General features: G+C 42.7%; 1 protein-coding gene across 1 annotated transcript, besides 20 other annotated features; it reads right to left on the reverse strand.

Moving 5' to 3' along the window:
- Positions 8556-11483: a meiotic recombination region, noted in NCBI's record as "this region was identified as a recombination hotspot within the HapMap YRI population". NCBI's record gives the evidence for it as "EXISTENCE:nucleotide sequencing assay evidence [ECO:0000219][PMID:20981099]".
- Positions 8556-12177: a biological region, named in NCBI's record as "meiotic recombination hotspot DNA3".
- Positions 8819-11483: a meiotic recombination region, noted in NCBI's record as "this region was identified as a recombination hotspot within the HapMap CEU population". NCBI's record gives the evidence for it as "EXISTENCE:nucleotide sequencing assay evidence [ECO:0000219][PMID:20981099]".
- Positions 9736-12177: a meiotic recombination region, noted in NCBI's record as "meiotic double-strand break mapped by DNA meiotic recombinase 1 chromatin immunoprecipitation followed by single-stranded DNA enrichment and sequencing in the germ cells of some male individuals with the PRDM9 A/A, PDRM9 A/B and PRDM9 A/C genotypes". NCBI's record gives the evidence for it as "EXISTENCE:chromatin immunoprecipitation-seq evidence [ECO:0000229][PMID:25395542]".
- Positions 10440-11639: a meiotic recombination region, noted in NCBI's record as "crossovers mapped in sperm cells of males of European ancestry". NCBI's record gives the evidence for it as "EXISTENCE:DNA detection assay evidence [ECO:0005519][PMID:11586303]".
- Positions 10982-10994: a nucleotide motif, noted in NCBI's record as "nucleotide motif; similarity to the predicted 13-mer PRDM9 A binding motif (LD hotspot motif), CCNCCNTNNCCNC".
- Positions 11844-11859: a nucleotide motif, noted in NCBI's record as "nucleotide motif; similarity to the predicted 16-mer PRDM9 C-type binding motif, CCNCNNTNNNCNTNNC".
- Positions 15990-19140: a meiotic recombination region, noted in NCBI's record as "this region was identified as a recombination hotspot within the HapMap YRI population". NCBI's record gives the evidence for it as "EXISTENCE:nucleotide sequencing assay evidence [ECO:0000219][PMID:20981099]".
- Positions 15990-19689: a biological region, named in NCBI's record as "meiotic recombination hotspot DNA2".
- Positions 16782-16802: a nucleotide motif, noted in NCBI's record as "nucleotide motif; similarity to the predicted 16-mer PRDM9 C-type binding motif, CCNCNNTNNNCNTNNC".
- Positions 16981-16993: a nucleotide motif, noted in NCBI's record as "nucleotide motif; similarity to the predicted 13-mer PRDM9 A binding motif (LD hotspot motif), CCNCCNTNNCCNC".
- Positions 17248-18822: a meiotic recombination region, noted in NCBI's record as "this region was identified as a recombination hotspot within the HapMap CEU population". NCBI's record gives the evidence for it as "EXISTENCE:nucleotide sequencing assay evidence [ECO:0000219][PMID:20981099]".
- On the reverse strand, positions 17499-22908 carry HLA-DOA (major histocompatibility complex, class II, DO alpha). Its single transcript, NM_002119.4, has 5 exons — positions 22772-22908; positions 21330-21578; positions 20628-20909; positions 20397-20532; positions 17499-20158 (listed from the first exon to the last, which is right to left on the reverse strand). The coding sequence occupies exons 1-5, from the start codon at positions 22851-22853 to the stop codon at positions 20155-20157; spliced, it is 753 nt and encodes a 250-aa protein (NP_002110.1). The 5' UTR covers positions 22854-22908; the 3' UTR covers positions 17499-20154.
- Positions 18390-19689: a meiotic recombination region, noted in NCBI's record as "crossovers mapped in sperm cells of males of European ancestry". NCBI's record gives the evidence for it as "EXISTENCE:DNA detection assay evidence [ECO:0005519][PMID:11586303]".
- Positions 18407-18422: a nucleotide motif, noted in NCBI's record as "nucleotide motif; similarity to the predicted 16-mer PRDM9 C-type binding motif, CCNCNNTNNNCNTNNC".
- Positions 21990-24561: a biological region, named in NCBI's record as "meiotic recombination hotspot DNA1".
- Positions 22090-23989: a meiotic recombination region, noted in NCBI's record as "crossovers mapped in sperm cells of males of European ancestry". NCBI's record gives the evidence for it as "EXISTENCE:DNA detection assay evidence [ECO:0005519][PMID:11586303]".
- Positions 22789-23304: an enhancer, noted in NCBI's record as "H3K4me1 hESC enhancer chr6:32977249-32977764 (GRCh37/hg19 assembly coordinates)". NCBI's record gives its function as "activates a minimal SCP1, AML or CMV promoter by ChIP-STARR-seq in naive H9 embryonic stem cells {active_cell/tissue: H9 hESC(naive)}" and the evidence as "EXISTENCE:reporter gene assay evidence [ECO:0000049][PMID:30033119]".
- Positions 23392-24561: a meiotic recombination region, noted in NCBI's record as "increased recombination frequency within the HapMap YRI population". NCBI's record gives the evidence for it as "EXISTENCE:nucleotide sequencing assay evidence [ECO:0000219][PMID:20981099]".
- Positions 23718-24561: a meiotic recombination region, noted in NCBI's record as "increased recombination frequency within the HapMap CEU population". NCBI's record gives the evidence for it as "EXISTENCE:nucleotide sequencing assay evidence [ECO:0000219][PMID:20981099]".
- Positions 24205-24217: a nucleotide motif, noted in NCBI's record as "nucleotide motif; similarity to the predicted 16-mer PRDM9 C-type binding motif, CCNCNNTNNNCNTNNC".

A 25298-nucleotide genomic window follows, 5' to 3' on the forward strand; every position in this document is an offset into this window, starting at 1 on the left:
GAAGACCTCCCTTCCTGGGTTATCATCAGACCTGTCACTTGCAGTGAGGCCTCACCTCAACTAAGGAGGTCAAAATAAGAATAACCTCTCATGTGAGTAAGAGGAACTCATCATCCTTGCCAAGCTTTCCAACCAACCCCAAACTTCAAGTATTTTTGTGTCCTTGTACAGTAAGTGAATATTTCTACATAATAAAATATTTCTTTCATCTCTTTGCCAAATGAGGACATTGCTCATTTTGTCAGACAAGCTAATGTTTGATTTGAGATTGAAGGAGAAAAGGGATTTATTCTCCAGCGATAAGCATTTTTGCTGGTGTTTGACAAACAAAAAAAGAGCAGTTCTTCTATTAGCTGCCACTGTCAGACCTCATGGAGTCAGTTGCTATTCTAATTGCTGAGACTATGAGAAGGTAACACTGGTTAATTGATGAATACTTTCCCCTCTTCTGCCCCTGCAGAAGATGTGTTGGAACTGGCTTCTCTATGAAGGCAGGTTGTAGAGACAATGACAGTTCTTCCAAGAAAGACAGTTATTACCTTGTCTTCCTGCATGGTTTTGTTTCTCACCCAGAGTTCCTGCAAAAAAAAAAAAAAAAAGAGACATTTTGCAGTTTCATCTACCGATTTTCTCCTCTCTCTCAAAAATAATGTTTTTAAAGACAGAGTCTTGCTCTGTAGCCCAGGCTTGAGTACAGTGGCACAATCTTGGCTCATTGCAACCTCTGCCTCCCAGGTTCAAGCAGTTCTCGTGCCTCAGCCTCCCAAGTAGCTGGAGACTACAGGTGTGCACCACCGCACCCAGATAATTTTTGTATGTTTAGTAGAGATGGGGTTTCCCCATGTTGGCCAGTCTGGTCTCGAACTTCTGATCTCAAGTGATCCGATCCACCCGCAACTGCCTCCCCAAATGCTGGGATTACAGGCATGAGCCACCATGCCCCACCCAAAAATAATTGTTTTAAAGCAGTTCTCAAGGTTTTCTAAGTTTACTTATACTCTTTTAACTCTTAAGTAACCCCAGGTAAGTGGAAGCTGAAAAGTTACAAAATGATAGTTACAAGGGCCAAGCAGTCCTGCATCCCTGTCAGAGTGAAACTTCATTCTCTCTGATGCAAAATAAAATGATGCTTGTTCTTCCAGATCCATGGTTACCATGACATATTATTCTGTATTCTTGATTTAAGAAAGCACTGGCACTGCCCAATCTCTGTGCCCTTTGATTGCTATGTCAAGCTTCAGGTTGCACACCCTGCCTTCTGTAAGGAACTTTCCTTACTTGGCCCCCAATTCCCTGATGTCTGGTCTGTGACCTGGTGTTGAAACTGGCTATGACACTGTGCTTAGACTTCCTCTTAAAATTCTGCATTCTGTTCTGGACCTGTTTCCAACCACAATAACACAACCCACTGATTTACTGTTCTTAAATCCATCTCTGCTATTCAGGCTGATTCCCAGTGATCTCATGTCCTTCTATCACTGCCTTTGGTCTTGCAAATAGACCCTACAGAGCCCCACAACTATTTAACCAATCATTTGGCCAGGGAGTAAGGCAAGAGACAAAAATTGAGGGAAGGAGAGAATGATGAGCAACTGAGGGAGCAGCTTGGGGTTGAAAAGCTACCTCAGAAAGCAGTTCTGTGATTGGGAGGAAGGTGGCTGATGTTACTGCAGGGGGTATCAAAAGCATCTGTCCTGAACTTCAGAGTCAGGTAGAAAACAAAACAGAAAGAATCTTCTTTTCCTCTGAGTCTGGGGAAACTGAGAGAGAAGGAGAAAGCCAAGGAAAGGGAACTGACACTCACTGAGCCGTTGCTATCTGCCAGGTGTATATTGATGGGCACTTTTCATAGTCATCTTTTTTGGTCCACATGACGTTCCTACCACACATATGTTATTATTTTTATTTTAGAGAGGAGGAAACTCTAAGTTAATGTGCATAAGATCACAGAGCTAGTGAGACAAGATAAGGCTAATTTCAAAGTTTATATCTTTACATACCAAACATTTCTAGTTATATTCTAGATATAAGCAAACAAGGAATTCAGAAGTAAAACTTAGCAAAAACTTCCAGATATTGTTAACTCCACCAACCTGAGCTAAAGAATGAGGCTAGAGATGAACACACACACACATGCATGCACACACATACACACAGTCACACACACACCTCAATCTTTTTAGAACTTTATTTATTTATTTATTTATTTATTTATTTATTTATTTATTTTGAGACACAGTCTTGCTCTGTCGCCTAGGCTGGAGTGCAGTGGCACGATCTCGGCTCACTGCAACCTCCACCTCCTGGGTTCAAGCAATTCTCCTGCTTCAGCCTCCCAAGTAGCTGGGATTACAGGCACCTGCCACCATGCTGGACTAATTTTTGTATTTTTAGTAGAGACGGGTTTTCGCCATGTTGGCCAGGCTGGTCTCAAACTCCTGGCCTCAAGCGATCCGCCCATCTCAGCCTCCCAAAGTGCTGGGATTACAGGCATGACCCACCAGGCCGAGCCTAGAATTTTATTTTTATTATTTTTATTTCGATAGCTTTAGGAGTACAGGTGGCTTTTATTTACATGGATGAATTGTATAGTGGTGAAGTCTGGGCTTTTAGTGTACCCATTACCCAATAGTGTATATTGTACTCAGTAAATAATTTTTCATCCTTCACCCCACTCCCCACTTCTGTGTCTCCAATGTCCGTTATACTACTCTGTATGGCTTTGCATACCCATAGCTTAGCTCCTACTTACAAGTGAGTGTTAAATTAGGTTTAGCCTAAAGCTGCTTCCTTACATGTTTTAAGTTCAGCCTAAAGGTTTCTCCATACATAGTAAACTGAAACCTAACTTGATGTGTAATCAGACTGAAACCTACTCTAGTGCCAATCACTGAGTTTTGGCCAATCAAAGGTGATCAACTGTTCAAACTGTGTTCAAATAAGACAAATGCCAAGCTTCAACCAATCCTGCTGTTTCTGTACCTCATGTCTGTTTTCTGTACATCACTTTACTTTTTCTGTTCATAAATATTCCACCACTTGGCTGTTCTGGAGTCTCTCAGCCTACTCTGGCTCAGAAGGCTCCCCAATTCACAAATTGTTCTTTGCTCAATTAAACTCTGTTGAATTTCATTCGTCTAAGGTTTTTTTTCTTTAACAATGAGAACACGTAGCACTTGGTTTTCTGTTCCTGAGTTACTTCACTTAGGAAAATGGTCCAGTTCCATCCAAGTTGCTGGAAAATATATTATTTCATTCTTTTTTATGGATGAGTACGATTTCATGGTATATACACATCACATTTTCTTATCCACTCATCAGTTTATGGGCACTTAGGTTGATTCCATACCTCTGCAATTGTGAATTCTATGTCTTTTTGATATAATGACTTCTTTTCTTTTGGGTAGATACCCAGGAGTGGGACTGCTAGATCAAATGGTAGAACTACTTTTAGTTCTTTGAGAAATCTCCATAGTGTTTTCCACAGAGGTTGTACTAATTTACATTCCCACCAGCAATGTATAAGCTATCCCTTTTCACTGCATCCTTGCCAACATCTATTGCTTTTTGACTTTTTAATATCAATGATACTGGCTGGGATAAGGTAGTATCTCATTGTGGTTTTAATTTGCATTTCCAGGCTGGGCGCGATGGCTCACGCCTGTAATCCCAGCACTTTGGGAGGCTGAGGTGGGAGTTCAAGACCAGCCTGACCAACATGGAGAAACCCCATCTCTACTAAAAATACAAAATTAGCTGGGCATGGTGGCGCATGCCTGTAATCCCAGCTACTCGGGAGGCTGAGGCAGGAGAACCACTTGAACCCAGGAGGCGGAGGCTGCAGTGAGCCAAGATCGCACCACTGCGCTCCAGCCTGGGCAACAAGAGCGAAACTCTGTCTCAAAAAAAAAAAAAAAAAATTGCATTTCCCTGATGATAGTGATGTTGAACATTTTTACATATGTTTCTGGACATTTGTATATCTTCTTTTGAGAAATGTCTGTCAATGTCGTTTGCTCACTTTTTAATGGGATTATTTATTTGGTTTTTTTTTTCTCTCATTTGTTTGAGCTCCTTCTAGATTCTGGATATTAGTCCTTTGTCAGATATTTGCAAATATTTTCTCTCATTCTGTGGTTGTCTGTTTAACTCTTGATTATTTCCTCTGCTGTGCAGAAGCTTTTTAGTTTAATTAGGTAGGTCCTATTTATTTATTTTTGCTTCTGTTGGATTTGTTTTTGAGGTCCTATTCATAAATTCTTTGCCTAGGCCAATATTCATAAGAGTTTTTCCAAGGTTTCTTCCAGAATTTTTATGATCACAGGTCTTAGATTTAAGTCGTTAATCTATCTTGAGTTAATTTTCGTATATGTTGAGAAACAGGGATCTGGTTTCGTTTTATTATTTTTATTTTTATTTTTTTTTGAGATGGAGTCTTGTTTGTCACCCAGGCTAGAGTGCAATGGTACGGTCTCGGCTCACTGCAACCTCCACCTCCTGGGTTCAAGTGATTCTCCTGCCTCAGCCTCCCAAGTAGCCAGGACTACAGGTGCACGCCACCACTCCTGGCAAAATCTTGTATTTTTTAGTAGAGACAGGGTTTCACTATGTTGGCCAGGCTGATCTCAAACTCCTGACCTCATGATCCACCCACCTCAGCCTCCCAAAATGCTGGGATTACAGGCGTGAGCCACCACGCTCGGCCCTAGTTTCGTTCTTGTACCTGTGTCAATCCAATTTTCCCAGCACTATCTATTGAATAGGGTGTCCTTTCTTCAGTGTATTGTTTTGTCTGCTTCGTTGAAGATTAGTTGGTTGTAGGTATTTGGTTTTATTTCTGGGTTCTCTATTCTGTTCCATTGATCTACTGTGTACTTTTATACCGGTACCATGCTGTTTTGGTTACTCTAGCCTTGTAGTGTAATTTGAAGTTGGGTAATGTGATGCCTCCAGATTTATTCTTTTTGTTTAGGATTGCTTTGGCTATCCAGGCTTTTTTTGTTGTTGTTCCATATGAATTTTAGGATTGCTTTTTCTAATTCTGTGAAAAATGATGCTGATATTTTGATAGGAATTGCATTAAACCTGTAGATTGCTTTGGGCAGTATGGTCATTTTTCATATTGATTCTTCCAATCTATGAGCATGGCATGGTTTTCCATTTGTTTGTGTCATCTATGATTTCTTTCATCAGTGTTTTGTAGTTCTCATTAGGGAGATCTTTCACCTCCTTGGTTAAGTATATTCCTAGACATTTACAATTTTTTTTGTAGCTATTGCAAGTGAGATTGAGTTCTTGATTTGATTGTCAGGTTGGTCGTTATTGGTATAGAGCTGTGTTATTGATTTGTGTATGTTGATTTTGTAACCTGAGACTTTACTGAATTCATTTATCAAATCTAAGAGTCTTTTGGAGGAGTCTTTAGCGTTTTCTAGGTATAAGATTATGTTATTGGCAAACAGAGATAATTTGACTTCCTCTTTTCCAATTTGGGTGTGCTTTCCCTTGTCTGTTTTCTCTGGCTAGGACTTCCAGTACTATGATGAATAGGAGTGGTGAAGGTGGACATCTTTGTCTTGTCCAGTTCTTAGGGGGACTGGACAAGTTCCCCTGGACAGTTTTTGTTTTTTTGTGTGTGTGAGACGGAGTCTCACTCTGTCACCCAGACTGGAGTGCAGTGGTGCGACCTCAGCTCCCTGCAACCCCTGCCTCCGAGGTTCAAGCAATTCTCCTGCCTCAGCCTCCCAAGTAGCTGGGACTACAGGCATGCAGTCCCACCATGCCTAGCTAATTTTTTTTTTTTTTTTTTTTTTTTTAGTAGAGATGAGGTTTCACTATTGTTGACCAGACTGGTGTCGAACTCCTGACCTCAGGTGAATTGCCCACCTTGGCCTCCCAAACTGCTGGCATTATAGGCGTGAGCCACTGTGCCCGGCCGGCTTTCAACTTTCATCCATTCAGTATGATATTGGCTGTGTGTTTATCATATCTGACTTTTATAATTTTGAGGTTTGTTCCTTCTATGCCTAGTTTGTTGAAATTTTTTATTATAAAGGGATACTGGATTTTACCAAATGCTTTTTATGCATTGATTGAAATGATCATATGACTTCGTTTTAAATTCTGTTTATGTGGTGAATCACATTTATTGACTTGCATATGTTGAACCATCCTTGCCTCCCTATGATGAAACCCACTTGATCATGGTGATTTATCATTTTGATGTGCTGATGGATTTGGTTTGTTAATATTCTGTTGAAGATTTTTGCATCTATGTTCATCAGGAATATTGTTCTGTAGTTTTCCTTTTTGTTGTGTTCTTTCCTGGCTTTGGCATCAGGTAACACTGGCTTCACAGAATGAGTTGGGGAGGATTCTCTCTTTCTTAATCTTTTGGAATAGTTTCAATAGGATTGGTACCAGTTCTTCTTTGAACATCTGGTAGAATTCAGCTGTGAATCTGGTCCTGGGCCTTTTTTTTTTTTTAAAAGATTTTTTATTACTGATTCAATATCAGTACTTGTTACTGGTTTGTTCAGGATTTCTATTTGTTCCTGATTCAAGCTTAGAGGGTTGTATGCTTCCAGGAGTTCATTCATTTCCTCTAGGTTTGTTCAGGATTTCTATTTCTTCCTGATTCAAGCTTAGAGGAATGCTTCCAGGAATTCATTCATTTCCTCTAGATTTTATAGTTTGTGTGCGTAGAGGTGTTTATAGTATTCTTAGATGATCTTTTGTATTTCTATAGTGTCAGTTGTAATGTCTCCATTTTCTTCTATGTTCTTAAATGCAGCTTCTACACAAGATTCCTGCATACTGTAGAAAATTTTATTTTTTTCACCAAGCCCAATTAATTTAGCTTAGCTGGAGAACTATTAAGAAGTGTGAAGACACAAATAAGAAACGAACGACTTCATTCCATAAATATAAGTAAAGGAAATTCCAGTGATGGCTTTTGCTGCACGAAGAGAAACCAGGCTAAGTTGAACTATTAATATTCGCTTTAGACTGCGTAATTTCTAAATGGTAACTATTCATACCTACCATTCATCCTAACCATACCTTCAGGCTTGGCTTAGACACTGGGACCTTTGTGAAGGAAGAGAGGCCTGAGGGAACTGGATTGTAGGAGATGGATGGTGAGAGGAAAGCTGGGGGTAAGGGTAGGCGTGCGTCTGGGCTTGCGTTGACTACATAAGAAGGAGATTTAAAAACTATAAAGACTTTTTAAGATTTTGGAAACTTAGTACCTTCTTCATTTTTACTTTTTTTTTTTTTGGTTTTTTTTTTTTTTTTTTTTTTTGAAATGGAGTCTCGCTTTGTCGCCCAGGCTGGAGTGCAGTGGCGGGATCTCAGCTCACTGCAAGCTCCGCCTCTCGGGTTCACGCCATTCTCCTGCCTCAGCCTCCCGAGTAGCTGAGACTACAGGCGCCCGCCACCACGCCCGGCTAATTTTTTGTATTTTTAATAGAGACGGGGTTTCACCGTGTTAGCCAGGATGGTCTCGATCTCCTGACCTCGTGATCCGCCCGCCTCGGCCTCCCAAAGTGCTGGGATTACAGGCGTGAACCACTGCGCCCGGCCCATTTTTACTATTTTTTATTCCTCTTTTCTGTTTTCTGATTGGGATTGGCAATAAAATCTCAAATATGGGGAAAATAATTTTTTACATAACATTTTTATGTTTTATAATTTTATATAACATTTTAATGTTTTATAATTTTTTATATAACATTTTAATGTCTTATAAAAACAAAATTATATGACATTTTTCTAGGTGAACTTATTCTTGGTGTTCCTGGGATGTCTATAGACAATGTTACAGTAACTTTTGACTACAGATCATTTTTTTCAAATGATATAATATTGATAAAGTAATTGTAGGGCTCCCAAAATAAAATGAGTTGGTTTTGAGCCTATGGATGAGAAATCTGCTGGGGAAATGGTCAAATTTTATGTCTGTATTTAATAGCCATGTAGTGGAACAAAAATTTAAAGGCATTACATCATGTTTATTTTATTTTAATTAAAACAAAAGAACAACCCATTTACATTATTTATTTAAATTATAAAATATTACAGAACAGGCTGGGAGCGGTGGCTCATGCCTGTAATCCCAGCACTTTAGGAGGCTGAGGTGGGTGGATCACCTGAGGTCAGGAGATCGAGACCAGCCTGGCCAACCTGGTGAAACCCTGCCTCTACTAAAAATACAAAAATTAGTTGGGCGTGGTCGTGGGCGCCTGTAATCCCAGCTACTCGGGAGACTGAGGCAGGAGAATCACCTGAACCCAGGAGGTGGAGGGTGCAGTGAGCTGAGATTGCACCATTGCACTCCAGCCTGGGCAACAGAGCGAGACTCTGTCTCAAAAAAAAAAAAAAGTTATTCAATTGGTGACATACATCAACTTGTGAGTTCAGGAATCTAGTGCTCTCTCCTTTAATTTCCTGCTATTTTCAAGTATAATAAAGCATTACACACACACACACACACACACACACACACACACACACCTCTTTAATTGTGAAAATTTCCAAACCTGCAGAAAACTTGGAAAAAATAAAATAATACTTGAAAGCTGCTATGGTTTGAATGTGTCTCCCAAAGTTACTAGGCTCTTCCTTTTGCTAGAGCTAGGACATATATATTAGTAAATCATTAGTTAAAACTGACATTTCTAGTTCAAAATATTTTTCTAGTTCAAATTTAATATTATTGTTTTAATTCAACTACGTTTACTTGCTTTTCATACATTAAAAATCTCAGTTCTGAATTACATGAACATAATCACTGATTTGCTTTATTTTATACATAACAAAAAGTTGTTATATATAAAACATTGGAAACTTAATCCCCAATGCAACAACGTTGAGAAGTGGGACCTTTAAAATACGATTAGGTCATCTCTTAAAGAGATGGGCAGAGCCCTCATAAAGGGCTTAATGCCATCATCTCTAGAGTGGATTAGTTATCTCATCTCAGGAGTGAATTCCTGATGAAAGGATGAGTTTGACTCCTTTCCTCTCCTTCATCCTTTCTCTCCTCCTTTTTTCTTCTGCCTTTTTTCTTCATCACAGCAAGAAAGCCCTTGCCAGATGTTGGCACCTGACATTAGGCTTCCCAGCCTCCAGAACTGTGAGAAACAAATTTCTTTCTTTTCTTTTTTTTTTTTTTTTTTTTTTTTTTTGGTAAATTACCTAGTCTGTGGTATTCTGTTATGGCAACACAAAATGGACTAAGACAAATACCCATCATATAGATTCAACAACTGTCAAGATTTTGCTGTGTTTGTTTGAACTGTGTGTGTATTCTGAATTCATTCTGAAGTAAATTAGAGATCTAGCATTTCATCCCTAAATACTTTAGCATAAAGATGACTTGATACATAACCGTGGTACTGTAATCATACTAAACAAAACTGAAAACAGCTCTCTAATATCATCGATTACCAGTTCATATTCAAATTTCCCCATTTGTCTGAAAAGTGCTTTTATATCTGTTTTTCCTCAAAGATATTGCCAAGAATCATTCACTAAATTTGATTGTAATGTCTCTTAATTCCCACTATTCCACCCATTTTTTAAACAGCATCTTTTTAGAGAGACAAGGCCAGTAGAATCTCTCACATTTTGAATTTGTGTGATTGGTTCTTTGTGGTTTCATTTGACTTATTCCTCTATCCAATGTATTTTTTTTATAGACTAGAACTTTTTGAAACAAAGGCTTGACTAGATTTAGATGAAAGATTTTTGACAATAATTCTTCATAGGTATTGCTGTGTACTTTGCATTTCATCTTATTAGGAAGCATATGCTTAATGTCTTGTCCTATTATTGGTGAGGCTAAACTTGATCACTCAGTCGAGGTGATGACAGCCATCACCTCTGTAAAGGTATTTCTCCCATTTGACAATAGCAAATAATCTATGACCATGATACTTTGGCATGATGTGACTCTCTTGTTCCTCACTGTCTATTCTCCTAATGGTTTTAACATATATGATGCCTTCCCTGAATCAATGATCACATTAGGCTTACAAAATGCTGGTTTTCTAATTCTGTTATTTTTCCCAACATTTATTCACTGGTACTCTGAAGGGTAGACCTTTTTTCATCAGTGGAACATTTCCTTGTGAAATGTCAGGATATATACTTGTTTTCTTTAAGCACCAATTTCCTGTGTTATGAATTGGAAGATCACATCCAGTGGTAATATCAATGGGTTGTTGTTGCTTACTTTTTAAAATCTGTATTCGACTATTAATAGGAACCCATGGATTTTTATATACTCAATGTGTTTAATTATATTATAGTCATCTTTTTGATGTCTGAGTTGTTCCAGTTTTGGCCAATGGAAGCTCCTTCAAACTGGCTGACCTGTTTTTTTGACATGACTCTATTAGTCTTTGAACAGTGCCTTGTTTTATGAAAACAATGAGATACTCACACTTGCTTTGTATTTTCCATAACTCAGGCCTGGAACTGGTCACTTCTCCAAGAAGCTCTATTTCCTTTGAGTGGGAAATGATATTTACACACTACAATCTGTGCATTGAGGATGCTCATTGCTACAGGGCTACTATTAGGCTCTTTCATTTGCTAGAGCAGGGACATATATGTTAGTAAATCATTAGTTAAAATTGACAGTTCTAGTTCAAATATTTTTTCTAATATTATTATTTTAATTCAGCTACTTTTACTTGCTTTTTATACATGAAAATCTTAGTTCTTTTTTTTTTTTTTTTTTTTCTTTGAGATGGAGTCTCTCCCTGTTGCCCAGGCTGGAGTGCAATGGTGCAATCTCCGCTGACCTCAACCTCTGCCTCCCAGGTTCAAACAATTCTCCTGCCTCAGCCGCCCGAGTACCTGGGATAACAGGCGCCCGCCACCACACCCAGCTGATTTTTTGTGTGTTTTCAGTGGATACGGGGTTTCACTGTGTTGGCCAGGCTGGTCTTGAATGCCTGACCTTGTGATCCGCCCGCCTTGGCCTCCCAAAATGTTGGGATTACAGGGATGAGCCACTGCCCCCGGCCTAAAAATCTTAGTTCTTAATTATATTAACATAATCACTGATTTGCTTTATTTTATATATAGTATAGTTTCAAATAAGGATACAAATATTACTTAACCATAAAACAACTGAATGATGTTCAAAGTTCTGATAGTTCTTTTTGTCCTTAGAATATATTCTATTAAGTCAGCTGGGGCAACATAATGAGACCCCATTTCTATTTAAAACATGTATTTTAATTAACTGGGTATGGTGGCATGTTCCTGAAGTCCCAGCTACTGTACTTGGGAGACCGAGGTGGGAGGATCACGTGAGCCCAGGAATTTGAGGGTGCACTGAGCTATAATCACACCAGCGCACTCCAGCACTCCAGCCTTGGCTGGCAACAGAGCAAGACCCTGTCTAAAAAAACAACAAACAACAAACAACAACAACAACAAAAAATAGAGAGAGAAGAGAGAGAGTAAGTGTATTCCACCAAGAACATACAGTAGTATCTTTTAATATCACTTGGGATACTTATTTTTTCTGTGTGGTTCAGTTCTATTTGTTTTAAATTTTAGAGGTTTTTGTCAATTTTTTATTAACATTGTAAATTATTTATACGTTTCAAAGGTCAATATTCACTTCTCACTTCTATTCTCCCTTCCTTCCTAAAAGTAGCCATTTTTATTAATTTCTTGTTTATCCTTCCAATGCAGCTTTTTTCCCCCTTTGGAGACATGGTCTCACTCTGTTGCCCAAGCTGGAGTGCAGTGGCACCATCATAACTCACTATAGCCTCGAACTCCTAGGCTCAAATGATCCTCTTGCTTCAGCGTCCTGAGTAGTTAGGACTACAGGGGGTACCACCATGCCTGGCTAATTTTTTTATTTTATGTAGAGACAGAGTCTTGCTATGTTGGCCAGGCTGGTGTTAAATTCCTGACCTCAAGTGATCCTCCCACTTCATCCTCCCAAAGTGTGGGGATTATAGGCACAAGCCACCACATCTGACCCAATCCACCTTTTTGAAAAAATATGTATCTTTCCTCTTTCTTACCCCAAAGGCAGTACATAGTTTAATCATTGTATTGCACTGTGAATTTTCCACTCTAACCTAGAGATTCCTCCGTATTAGTTCAAAGAGATCTTTCTCATTCCTTTTCGTTAGACTTTTTCCTTTAATTGATACATGATATTTTACATATTTTATTTATGAGGTACATGTGAGTATCTGTTACATGCATACAATGAGACTAATGATCAAGTCAGGTATTTGGGGTATCCTTCACCTTGAGCATTTATCATTTCTATGTGTTGGCAACATCTCAAGTCCTCTCTTCTAGCTACTTTGAAATATACTATATATATATATATATATATATATATATATATATATATATATATATATATATATTGTTGCTGGCTACAGTCACCCCAGTCTGCTATCAAACATTGGAACTTATTTTTTCTATCTCCTCATTCTTTTTAACAGCTTTGCATTACTCCATTGTGCAGATGTACTATAATTTTTTCAACTATTGTACTCTTACTAGGCATGTTTCCAATAATTTTCAATTGTTACAAATAATGACATATCATTTTTAAAAGGCAGATTACTATATAATAAAGATACATACTTCACTTTGGGAGGCCAAGGCGGACGGATCACAAGGTCAGGAGTTCGAGACCAGCCTGGCCAATATGGTGAAACCCTATCTCTACTAAAAATACAAAAATTAGCTGGGTGCGGTGGTGAATGCCTGTAGTCCCAGCTGCTCGGTAGGCTGAGGCAGGAGAATCACTTGAACCCAGCAGGCGGAGGTTGCAGTGAGCTGAGATGGCACCACTGCACTCCAGCCTGGGCAACAGAGCAAGACTCTGTCTCAAAAAAAACAAAAAACAAAAAGATACATATTTAAGTTTGGCATTTCCTTACATGTATTAAAATATGTTTTAACAGAAAAATATTACTTCTATTGATTTGTTTTTGGTTAGGTTATTAACACTCTCCTAAACACTTCGGTTTCATGCAACAATTTAGGAAATATCTGGTGTGCTTCTTAGTGAATGTGGAGATACTGGATTTGACAAATATCAGTTGGTTAGACTAGTGTTTGGCACATTGGAAGTGCTCAATAATAATAGTCAATACTATTATGAAAGATAATAGTATTAACAAAACAATACTTGTTAATATCAGAAAAACAAATTTTAATTTATTTTTCTTTATGCGGACATGTCATCAGGGAATTTGAGAGCAGGGTGACTACATTTTGTTTTAGTCAGCTGGGGCTTTAAACATTTATTGAGTAACCACCATGTTTCAGGCATTACAGTAAGAACTTGTACCTGAAGCAGATCCATATACTGAAGGCCCGAGGAAAGGAATAAAGGGCAACTGGGAACCTGACCAGGTCTCAAGAGCGGTGTTGGGACTCTAGGGAGGAGGCAGCAGAACGTTTCCAGTGGACGGAAGTGCCGGGGAGTCCACCTTGGGAGACCTTAGGCTTACTCAGATTTGGAGGCTCCAGGTGGGGTGGATGCAAACCACAAGATGGAGCCAAATTACAAGTCATAGGTAGCAACCTCCTAAACCACAAGGAGGAGAGGAGAGGAAGTGAAGTCGCTCCTCTGCGTGCACGATCACTTGTCTGGAAGCTTTTCTGAAGTCAGAGAGAAAGGAAAGCCTGAGAAGTGGGACATCATTCATTGAAAGGCATCTGTGTGTAGAGATAAATAGGGTAACATGATAGGGAGAGATTGGAGATAGGTGGTTTATTTAGCAAAGTTGGTCAATGAAGCTTCTCTGAATTGGTGCCACACGAGTTGTGAATGGGTGATGAATTGGAGGCATTAATGTTAAGGAGAATTCTGGGGAAGATAGTGTGGCTATTGCTTAATGAAAGAAGGAAGAGTAGAGGGAAGTAAAGATGAAGACACATGCAGCGCCAGATCATATAGAGTCTTGTTGACCAGGAGGGAATTTAGACTAAGCAAGAAAGAAAGTCTGAACTGGGGGAGTGCTTCGACTGATCCAGGAGGGAGAAGAAAATCTCTTCAGTAATTCCATCCCCAGTCATTCTTCAAGCTCACCTCATTCCCTGCAGCCTGTTGCTGCTGAAGCCTCAGAAGAAGTTTGTTCCCAAAGTTGGGAATACCTCCTCCTACACATTTCCTAGTAATGCTGATGTCTGACCCTGTTCATCCTGCCTCATGTCTCACAAGCTGGTCTCCATTCGCTGCTGAGTAGGACAGTGCAGTGGAAAGAACATGGGCTCTAGCATCACACAGACCTTCCAACCACCTCCTAGCTGTTTGACCTTGGGCAAGTTAGGTAATTTGAATCCTAGCTTCCTTCTTTATAAAATGAAATCATTATACTTAACTTGCAGATTGGTCATAAGGAAGAAATGAAATAATTCATGTATGGCAGAATGATGCTTTTCTTTTTCCTTTGTTTGTATTTAGGTTTGTCACACAAGACAATAGCACATGTCACCGCCAAGGCCTTTCCTCTTCTGGCTTTGGATTTCCCAAAATCTGAAGCTCACTTGACATTATGCCAGGTGTCCCAGACATTGTGCCAGAGAGAGAGAGGGGAATGCCTTTGACAGGCAAAGGGGGAAGGTTCTCCCAAACTGAGGAAGGCACAGTGGCCTGTGGGTCTGAAAGAGCCCTGCTTCCTTGCAGCAGCCAAGGCAGGTGGGGAGGCCTCCCAGGGACGGGGAAGTTGGCCGTATGGTGCATCTTTGCAGTCCTGCTCCCAGGCACTGGGGATCACTCCTCACTAAAGATTCCCCTGCCCCAAGCCTAGTGCAGAAGCAGCAGAGCTTCCACTTGGAAAAGAGCATACAGGTTAAGCCCTAGGCATGCTTGGAGTAAACAGTCTGGACTGGAGAAGACAACAGGGGCTTCTCCAAGGCCTCAGCACTGTGTCAGGGCGCAGACCCTTGGAACAACTGTAAGAGACCAGAAGCCCCAATAAAGACAGATTGAACTTAAAACCAGCCTCATGGCAGGGGTTTTGAATCAGATTTAAGATTTTTTAAAGAGCAGGTTTTGAATCAGATTTTCGATTATTTAAAGACATTTACTATTTTTTGCACTCTGTGCACTATCTTATTAATCTTTTGGACCAAGATTCAAATCCACTACACGTGAAAAGCATTAAGGCCAGGCACATTGCATGTGTTGGGTAAACGGTAGCCAATGTTATTAAAACCAGCTGCAGACAGTCGGACCAGGCTGGATTTGAAGCAAACAAAATTGAATTAAATAGAATTCTACAGTGTTTCAATGCCCATTATGTTCTGGGTGTTGGAACTATAAGACACAGCCTTCTCTTGCTTTAGAGGAGCAGTTAGTGGCAAAGGCAAATTCATACACAGTCAACTGACACAGGGCGGAATGTGGTATGCACTGCAGGGACAGGGTGGCCAGCATATTGGGGGCTGGGATTGAAAATGCTTCACAGAAGAGGTGACATTTAATCTGGACCCTGGAAGGACAGGTAGAATTTTGACTGGTTGGTGGAGGAAGGCAGGTCCAGCACAGAGAATAGTTTGTGCAAAGGCAGGGAGGAGTAAACATGCGACAACAGTTTTCTGTGACTTAAGCATTGATCATTTTCAGGAGGAGCTATTATATGGTTAAAATAGGCCAGGTGCGGTGGCTCATGCCTGTAATCCCAGCACTTTGGGAGGCCAAGGCAGGCGGAGCACCTGAGGTCAGAAGTTCGAGACCAGCCTGGCCAACATGGTGAAACCCGGTCTCTACTAAAAATAATAAAATTAGCCGGGCATGGTGGGGGGTGCCTGTAATTCCAGCTACTCAGGAGGGTGAGGCAGGAGAATTGCTTGAACCTGGGAGACAGAGGTTGCAGTGAGCTGAGATTGCACCACTGCACTCCAGCTTGGGTAACAGAGTGAGACTCTACCTCAAAAAAAAAAAAAAAAGGAAAGAAAAAAAGAAAAAGAAATACCCTGAGGACGGTTTGAGAAGGGTCTTCATCTTGTAGGTAATGGAGCACCTATAAGAATTTAAAGGAGGAAGGGAAAAAGCAGATATCCTATAAGCTTCTGAGAGAAAAAAACAACAACGATTACGTACAAAGTTTCATGACACAATATCTTTTGGATTATCAACAATAACGCAGGAAGCTAAGGGATTATAGAGAAATGCCTTAAAAATTCTGATGGAAATGATTTCCAATCTTGAATTTTATAACCGTGGAAGCTATTATTCAAGTGTGAGAGTAGAATAAATATATTTTCCGACATACGAAGCATAAAAAGTTTTCCTCATATGCACTGTTTCTCAGGAAGTGGAAAGAAGAGGTGCCTCATTAAAATAAGGCAGACCACAAAAGGGCAATGACTGGATACAAGAAGCAGAAGATCCAACTCGGAGGATAGGTAAATCCTGACGAGGATGGCGAAGAGTGATCTCAGAGTGACCGCTGTATCATCAAGGGCAAGGAGTTAAGAATGGAGCAGACAGAAGGTTCTGGGAGAGTTATATCTGGTGATAAAATTGACAGAATACCTGATGTGTTTGATTGTACTGTGAGGAATTTTGTGATTCATTAATAATAAGTACAAATACAGCCACACAAAGGAAAACAGGACAACTATATACTCCAGAGAAAACGAAGTCGTCTAGAAAAGGAAGAGTGAGCATGGCTTGCTCTATGGTTTGCCATTACATGGTCATATTGATAGAAACATAGTAAACACAGTAACTTTTACTATATTGTAAAAATTACAATATAGTCACATTAAAAGAAAGGGCATGGGAAAGGGGGCATGATGTTCTTTGAGGATGAAAAAAATCTAAATCCCCCTCTTCCACAGCAGGAGGTAAAGAGATAAAGCCTAAAGCTGAAAAATCTAGATGTAGCAACACAAACATGTTATTTAGAGATGGGAGGTTAATACCAACAAAACATATTAGAACAATTGAAAGTTATTTTCTGTAAGGGTGAGGATATGGTGGGAGATGGGGCTGGAAACTGGTATTTCTGTAGCAAATATTGTAGAAATATTTGACTCTTTAAACTATAACATAATTTGGTTAAAAATTAAAACCGAAAGAGAGTGGATGGGAAGAGGGGATCTGGAGGCAGTCCACGTAGACACTCTCAGAGAGCGTGACCAGGAGCTTGGGTGGAAGGGAGACTGGGTCAAGGACAGACAGAGGATTTGATGTTCTTGTTATATAGGAGAGATGACATGCTTATGATTTGTAGGGTGACCCTGCAAAAAGGGAGAGTTTGGATACAAAGGACAGGAGACTACTGGATGTCTGTTCTAAAAGAGAGTGAAAGATCAAGAATGCAGGAGGACAACTTGTTTTTTAAAATAAAAGACTACGTACCTTGAGACTAGAAACAAATGTGAGTATACACGCAGGTGCATAAATCTAAAAGCTCTGGAATTACTCCTAGAAGTTCCAGTGACTTCAGGGTAGTATATGCAACAGTAAAAAAAAAGCATATTTCTTTAGTCAAAAGAACACAATTTTAATGACTTTATCAAGCCTTAGGACAGAGATGAGAGAAACACCTTTCCAATGATGCATCAAGTTAACGTCTAAGCAAAAGATCAGCAGAGATCAGAGATTGTTGGGTACACACGTATCTTGTGATGTCTTCTGAGAACCAACTTATTCCTCTTTCTCTGAGAAGAACTTGACCCCTCGCCCCGGGGCTGAGTGCTTGGCAGCCACATTTGTGTTGAGATCTTGATTCCTGCTCTAACTACACAGGGCTGGGATGGACACCTGCTCCAAGTTTGGCCAGTCATTTATTTTTCCAGTAATTTAAAGCTGTGACTAGGAGACACAGCCTCTGTGGGTTGTGAGGGTTGAGATGATATAAACTCAGGAGCTGTCGGGTGGACATGTTCACTGAGAAGGACAGTCAGTCCACAGAGAGAGAACACCGCTAACATGCAGGGGGGTCTAGAGAACACAGACCATGTGGATCCGAGAGTGTTGGAGGGGCAGCTCTAGCTTCTCTGGGCTTTTCGGATCCGAGTTCTGTTCCTGGGAGGCCTGGCTAAAATCTACCCTTGGGCCCTGCACTCCTCCCCATGGCTATATTGCAAATATCCTATACTTTGCATGTGATCACACAAAGAGGGTTTCTGTTACTGGCACACAAAAAGTTTGCCTGAGATGATTCTCCTCCACTTCCATCAGGGTCTTCTGGTCATTGATTTCAACTTATTCTCTCTTAAGAAGCCCATTGAGTCCCCATAATCTCTTGGTTTCTTTCTTTTCCAGGACCAACTGCTCACAGTTCAAACCCTCATTTTGCCTCTATTTACTTGTACCTTGATTGGCTGATGCCCTAACAGACCCAGGTTCTTCAGAAAGCCTTCCTAGTCCACCTCAGACCTTGGGGATCCCCCTTTCCCATGACCCCCGATGGCACCTGATTACGTCACTGGGTTCCAGTTACCAGACCACAGCCAAGGTCCAGGATGGCTGCATCAGAGTCATCCAGAGCCGGTTAAAAATGACAGCCTCGGCTGGGCACAGTGGCTAATGCCTGTAATTCCAGTACTTTGGGAGGGAAGGTGGGTGGATCACGAGGTCAAGAGATGGAGGCCATCCTGGCCAACATGATGAAACCCCGTCTCTACTTAAAATACAAAAATTAGCTGAGTGTAGTGGCGCACACCTGTAGTCCCAGCTACTCAGGAGGCTGAGGCAGGAGAATGGCTTGAACTCAGGAGGTGGAGGTTGCAGTGAGCTGAGATCATGCCATGGCACTCCAGCCTGGTGACAGAGTGAGACCCCATCTCAGAAAAGACAGCCTCCCTGTTGCTGCCCCCTGCACTCCCGAGATTCTAATTCAGTAGGTCTGGGTGATGACTGTTATTTTTATATTTTATTTATTTATTTATTTAGAGACAGGGTCTCACTCTGTCACCTAGGCTGGAGTGCAGTGGCGCAATCTTGGCTCACTGCAGCCTTGAACTCCTGGGCTCAAGCACTCCTCCGGCCTCAGCCTCCCCAGTGGCTGGGAATACAGGTGCGAGCCACCATGCCTGGTTAATTTTTAAATCTTTCTTTGTAGAGATGGGGTCTCTCTATGTAGCCCAAGATGGTTTCCACCTCTTGGCCTCAAGCAGTCCTGTCCCCTTGGCCTCCCAAAGTGCTGGGATTACAGGAATGAGCCACTGCACCAGGCCAATGCCTGTACTTTTAAAAGGATCCCAAGCAGTTCTTATGTGCATTCTGGTTTGAAAACCGTAATCTGTATTGCTCATTTTGGTCCTGACATAAACTATGTGGTATGGTGATTTATCTCTTTGTATGTTTTAAATTCTGTTCACAGAAAAGTAGACCAAAATCTTCTAGGCCACATATTTAGAGTGTGTCTAGGTGGACCTCCCCTCTTACGAGATACCTCGCAGACCGACTCTACCACCTCCTACCTAACATGACTGACTCCACTGAGGGAAGTGGCCACCTTATCCAAGCCTTGGGCCTCTCTTTATCATGCATGGGACTCTAGGGAAAAGTAGAAAAAGGAGATAACATCATGGCAGGATACCAGTGGCCTCTTCATACAGAGTAAACCCAGGCAGGAGTGGAGTCCCCATGAGCCTGTCCTGTCCCAGCACCCTTCAGAACTGTTGTTAGCTGAGGGGGTCGTGAGGAACAGGATAATCTGCATCCCTTTCAGGGTAAACCTGAACTCAGGAGGCAAATTTCATGAAGTCCATGTGAAATGGCTCATTCACAAAGTAACACACAATGGGCCAAATGGAGCAAGACACACCTGTGTGGGCCCCAGGATGGCTGCCAATCCCCAGCACCACATGCCTCACCCCTGGAAGAACTGGCCAAGGCCTGGAAAGGACACAGTGCAAACACCACCAAAGCATTTAGTGCTGCCAGCCAGAGCTTTGGGTAGAGCAAGAATGTGTGTGTGTGTTGAATGGGAAGGGAAGCTAGTAGGTGTCCAACAAACCCTGCCATGAATACTGGGGCCAAAAAAGAGGGGACCCGTAGGACAGATGTTGATCCCACTCAAAGTCAGCACAGCGGGATGCACTTAAAGGGCACTGAGCACGCAGGGGCTGTCACAAACCCATGAGGATCTGCAGGGTGTCTCCCACAAGTCATTTCTCTCAGAAGGATCATTACCTAAAATAGCAGAAAACATACGATCGAGGTTGCTCAATTTCAATATGCTGGGATCCTATCTCTGAGTGCCCACCTCCCCCAAAACCTCACTCTCTCACCCCACCTCTGCTTCTTTTCTCCCTGCCCATTTCTTTTCTGACTTCTTTCCCCACAACAGAATCTCTGATTCTCCACCCACGTCCTGTTCAGAGTCATCCACTTTCCTCCCCCACCCCCCAGACTCCCGGGGCCTCTGCACCTGGGGACACTGGACACATATGTGCCCATGATGATGAGGACGGTGCCCACGAGGAAGCCCACCAGGCCGATGGCCAGGCCCAGGGCACAGACCAGGGTCTCCATGGCATCTGGTGGTGGAATAGGCACCTGGAGCTCTAGGAGAGAAAGGAAGGAGTTGGTGGTATATGAAAGGATTCTAGAGTAAAGGAAACCTGGGGCCAGGAGGGTGCATGGGGAGGGGGCTCCGTACCCCAATGCCTGAGGAGTGGCGCATCCAGGCCCCAGTGCTCCACCTGGCAGTCATAGACGTCCTCGGCTGAGGGCACGAAGGGCAGGTAGTGGAACTTGCGGAACAAATGGTCAGGCTGGGAATAGAAGCTGGTCTGGGCCACTCCCTCAGTGACAGTTTGGCCGTTGCGCAGCCAGGTGATATTGATCACAGGGGGGAAGATGTTGTCCACGATGCAGATGAGGATGTTGGGCTGGCCCAGCTCCACCCGAGACTTGGGGAGCACGGTCACCCGTGGAGGCACTAGGAGGAACAGGCCCTGAGTCCACAGGCTCATCCCTCACCCCAGGGCCTTACTAGGACTGGGATTAAGGGACGTTCCCCCTTTGTAGCCATCTGTGGGCAGGGGATGCTCTGGGGTATCCACTGGGGCAGGAGAGGAGGAAAACAGAGGGAGAGGAGACTGGGGAGGGAGTGGGGACGCCAGGAGCTCCTATATTTGACTGGTCCCTGGGCGGGAGTCCGGGTGAGAGGTGTCATTCCTCAAGGAGAGGGGTGCCAAAGGGGTCTGGGAAGACCTGGAGCCTCCTGGGAAAGAAAGGAACAGGGCATGACAGGCGCGGGCGCTGAGAGCGCGCCCCAGAGTGATGGGAGCCTAGGAACTGGGAGGAAGTTTCTCTGGACCTTCCCGCCTGACTGGGTGGGCAGAGGGAGGGCCGGTACCGTTGATGGCTCTGCTGCGGTTGGAGCGCTCCACCAGGATGTCCAGATGGGCTTTGATTGCGGCGATGCCGGCCAGCCCGCCCTGCGGGTCAAAGCGGGCAAAGTCACCAAACTCAGGCAGACGCCACACGGCCTCGCTTTTCTTCAGGTCCACAGAGAACAGCTGTTCCTCATCAAATTCATGGGTGAACTGGCCCGAGGCGCCGTAAGACTGGTAGAAGGCGGGTCCGTAGGAGCCCATGTGGTCAGCTGTGTTTGGCGAGTTCAGGGTCAAGGAGAGAGAAAAAAATGTGTCTGTCTCATCCACAATATGTGATTGTTGAGTCCCTGAGCCTGGGCCCCGTCCTGGGTTCTGTGTGGGGACAGAGTCCTGTTCTGACACTGGGCTGGCCCTGGGAGAGAGAAAGGGAGAGAGAACAGGAAGAAAGAGGCTCATCCCAGCACACTGCAGTCGGCACAGAGACAGTGCAGTCTGGCATATCAGGATGGGAAGAGGAGGGACTGCCTAAAATCATGCTTGGGGTTCCAGAATTTAAATCTTGGCTGTGGTCATCTGCCCTGGCTGTGTTGTCAGGCCCTGTGTTGTGAGCTGGTGGGACTGTGGGGGTGGGATGAGGAGGAATGATTAAGGACAGGAGAGTATGGAGCTTTGCACAGAGATGCAGTGCAGGTGGGTGTGAGGGGAAACAGGCCACGGCTGGCAGGGGTAAGAATTAAGGTTAGTGACCCAGAGACCAAGGGGATAGGGAGAGGCAACTCAAGGCATTACAAAGAGCACTGGACGAGGAGTCAGAAGTCAAGGTTCATGTCCCAATTCCTCCATCTCAGAGCATTATGACTGAGTGTGGCTCTTCCATAACTGTTGTCTAGTTTTCTGGAAGTTAGGGATTAAGTTTTAATTCTTGTAGAACTCTATGAAGTTGTTTGAGCAACAGTTATTGAGGAACTAGCATGCACCCAGCACAATGGGGGGCCAGGGAAATAAAAGAAAAAAAAGATGAACCATCTGTAGACCCGCACCCCAGCTCATGTCTCCCGAAGAACAAAGACAGGTAAATAGTTAACTACCGGCATGGGCATAAATACTGCAACAGAACTGGACTTGATCGGGCACATTCCCGGCCAGGGGTGGTAGAGAAATCAGGGTGCTTGCTGGCATCTGTTGGGTGGAGGTTTGGGTCTCAGGAAGGAGGAAGGAATGAGGAGAAATCTGAACGTCAGCAAAGGCTGACTGGGGCACCTGCGCAGCTGACCGAGCTGCATCTTCATTTAGGTCCAGAGTGGATGTGACAGAGATGAGGGGGATTGGGTGTCTCTTGGTGAAGGAAGTTGCCCATAAACCAGAGAGCGAGAGGAACAAGCATCCTCCATGCCACCTCCTCATGTAACCCAACTCCGTAAATCTCTGCTCCCCGCCGCACCCTCCTCGCCCTCGCACTCACCCTTGGTGGCCCCTGCCTCCTGCGGGCTCAGGAGGGTCATCAGGGTGTGGAACCCCAGGACCAGCCCTGCTCTGAGGGCCATTACACTCTGGTGCTTTAATCAAATCAGTCTCAGTCCGTGTGGTGAGGACAGGAACAAGGCGGAGGTAAAGAAGAAGAAAACAGATTCGAGGATGGGGGCGACCCCTGCTGTCTTCAGCCAATCACAGAAATTCTCTGAGTGAATGTATCTGTTGCTGGGTAAAGAGGGAAAGAGCCGGGGTGAGAAGGTGGAAGGATTCACTGGGCCCCCAGGAGAGGCCAGAGGAAGTTTTGGAGGATGGGAGGGGCTTGGACCAACTATTACCACGTCCTCCAAGAAGGGACCCCCTGAAGAGAGAGAAAAGGCCGTCAGAGCACCGCGCAGCTGAGCTCCAACAAATCCTCTCTCTATGTCCATCTGCGATGCAGGGAATCCTACTTTCCCAAGAAGTTTCCGTGGACAAATTTTGAGTTAGAAAGTAAAATAAACTTTACCAATAATCTTTAAAAGGAAAACATTGGCTACACAATGGAATAAAAACCTCTTAAAACTTTAAATCACTTTCAAAAATGTTATTTTATTTTTCTTTTATTATTATTTAATTTCATTGTGTAAGAAAAAATGTGTAATTGTTGGAGTTGTTTGGTCTAAAGCAAAGTGTAAAGAGCTCCCGTGGACTCCCCGAGGAGGGCAGAGGTGCTGGTCCTCTCTGTTGGTCCCTCCAGGACCCGGGCACCTCCTCCAGGCTGACACAGGCTGGAGGACGGCATCACCCTTGCCTTTGGCTTCTGGTTGGGCTCGGCTAATAAGAGGCACTGGGAGAATTTAGTCCAGTATATATATTTAAAAAACAAAACAAAACAAAACAACAACAACGTAAAGCTAACGTCTGTGTAAAGAGAAATCTAACCAAATTAGGCCATGTGTCAAAGACCATGAAATCGATGATTTTCAACTTGGAGGGAGCTAGGAAATCATGCGGGTCTCTGGTTCCAAATGAGAATCACCTGGGGGGTTCGTTATAATACGTGTTCCTGAGTTTCCTCTTTACTTAATGGGTTAGATTAGCCTTTCCAAGGCAGGGCCAGGGAACCTGTGTTTTCAGCATGCTCCCCAGGTGGTTCTCGGGTAGTCTGTGGACTGGTAAAACCTGCTCCAATGCTCTTTCCTCAATGAATAAGGGATGCCTATTTTAAGTGGGGCAGACACAGCTTCTGACTTCAAATTAATCAAATGACAGCTAGTAATTGATTTGCATGGCCCGGTTTATGGGGAGCCCTAATCTTAGTTTTTTCGTTTCTAGTCCACAGTGTCTACGTAATGCCTAGCACATCATAGGCGCCTAGGAGACACCTGCGCATGAATGAACAGTGTCTTCACTGCTTTGGTCCTGCCCTGGTTAGGACCCTTGCCACCTTCACCTCCCCCCAAGTGAGGTGGGAGCTGGAGCCATGAGATGAAAGACGGGAAAGCCATGAAAAACTCATGATAAAGAATGTTGCTTCTTTGGTTAATAACAGTCGAGTATCGGGTGTTTTTTTTATTTGAAAACATACATAGATTTTTTAAAGTATGTTTTTTGTTATTAACTTATAATTTAATTACATGATAATCCTCTATGGCTTGGAGTGTGGTGAACTTCTGTAAATATTTCACATGGGCTCTAATAAATGTGATGCAGAATTTTATACATGTACATGTTTATTGGATCAAGCATGTGGATTTTGTCATTCTAATTTATTACGGTTTTCTTTATCTTTGGACTGGCCTATACATAACTAAGAGTGGTGCATTTATTTATTTATTTTTTAGAGACAGGGCCTTGCTCTGTTGCTCAGGCTGGAGGGCAGTGAAGTAATCATGGCTCGCTGCAGCCTCAAACAGCTGGGCTTAAGCGATCCTCCTGCCTCAGCCTCCCAGAGTAGCTGGGACTATAGGCATGCCCCACAATTCCTGGCCTATGAATGGTATATTTAAATCTCTAACTGTGACTGTAGGTTTTTCAACTTGTTTCTAATTTTTAAATCAACTTTTGCCCTCTCTGCATTTAGGTTATTAAGGTGTTTACTCTTGGGAATTATTACAGTCTTGGTGAACTGAGCCTTTTCCCAATTTGTCCTGAGAATCTTTCTGTCCTACTCTGTCTTGTCTGATAGTAATAAGTTCTACAGCTGTCTTTGGGTATTTGTTCACTGTATCTTTTTCTACTCTTTTGTTTTTACTCTTCCTTTGTACTTATGCTTTAGATGTAGCCCTTGAAATGTCATAAATATAGATTTTTGCTTCTGATTCAATCTGACGATCTCTGTCTTCTAACCTATGTTCAATTCATATGGTAGTCAAAGTGAGCAAACTTGTTTCTGCAAGAGACAAACACTGAAGCCTCAGTGGTTTAACAAAACACAGGTTTATTTTTTAGCCACGTGTAGTTCAAGGCAGGTTGGGCACTCTGTAGCTCTTTTCCAAAACATGCCTCAAGGTGGCTAAGCTCCACTTTGCATCTCT

This window comes from Homo sapiens, chromosome 6 (genome assembly GCF_000001405.40).
Source record: "Homo sapiens chromosome 6, GRCh38.p14 Primary Assembly".
NCBI lineage: Eukaryota > Metazoa > Chordata > Mammalia > Primates > Hominidae > Homo > Homo sapiens.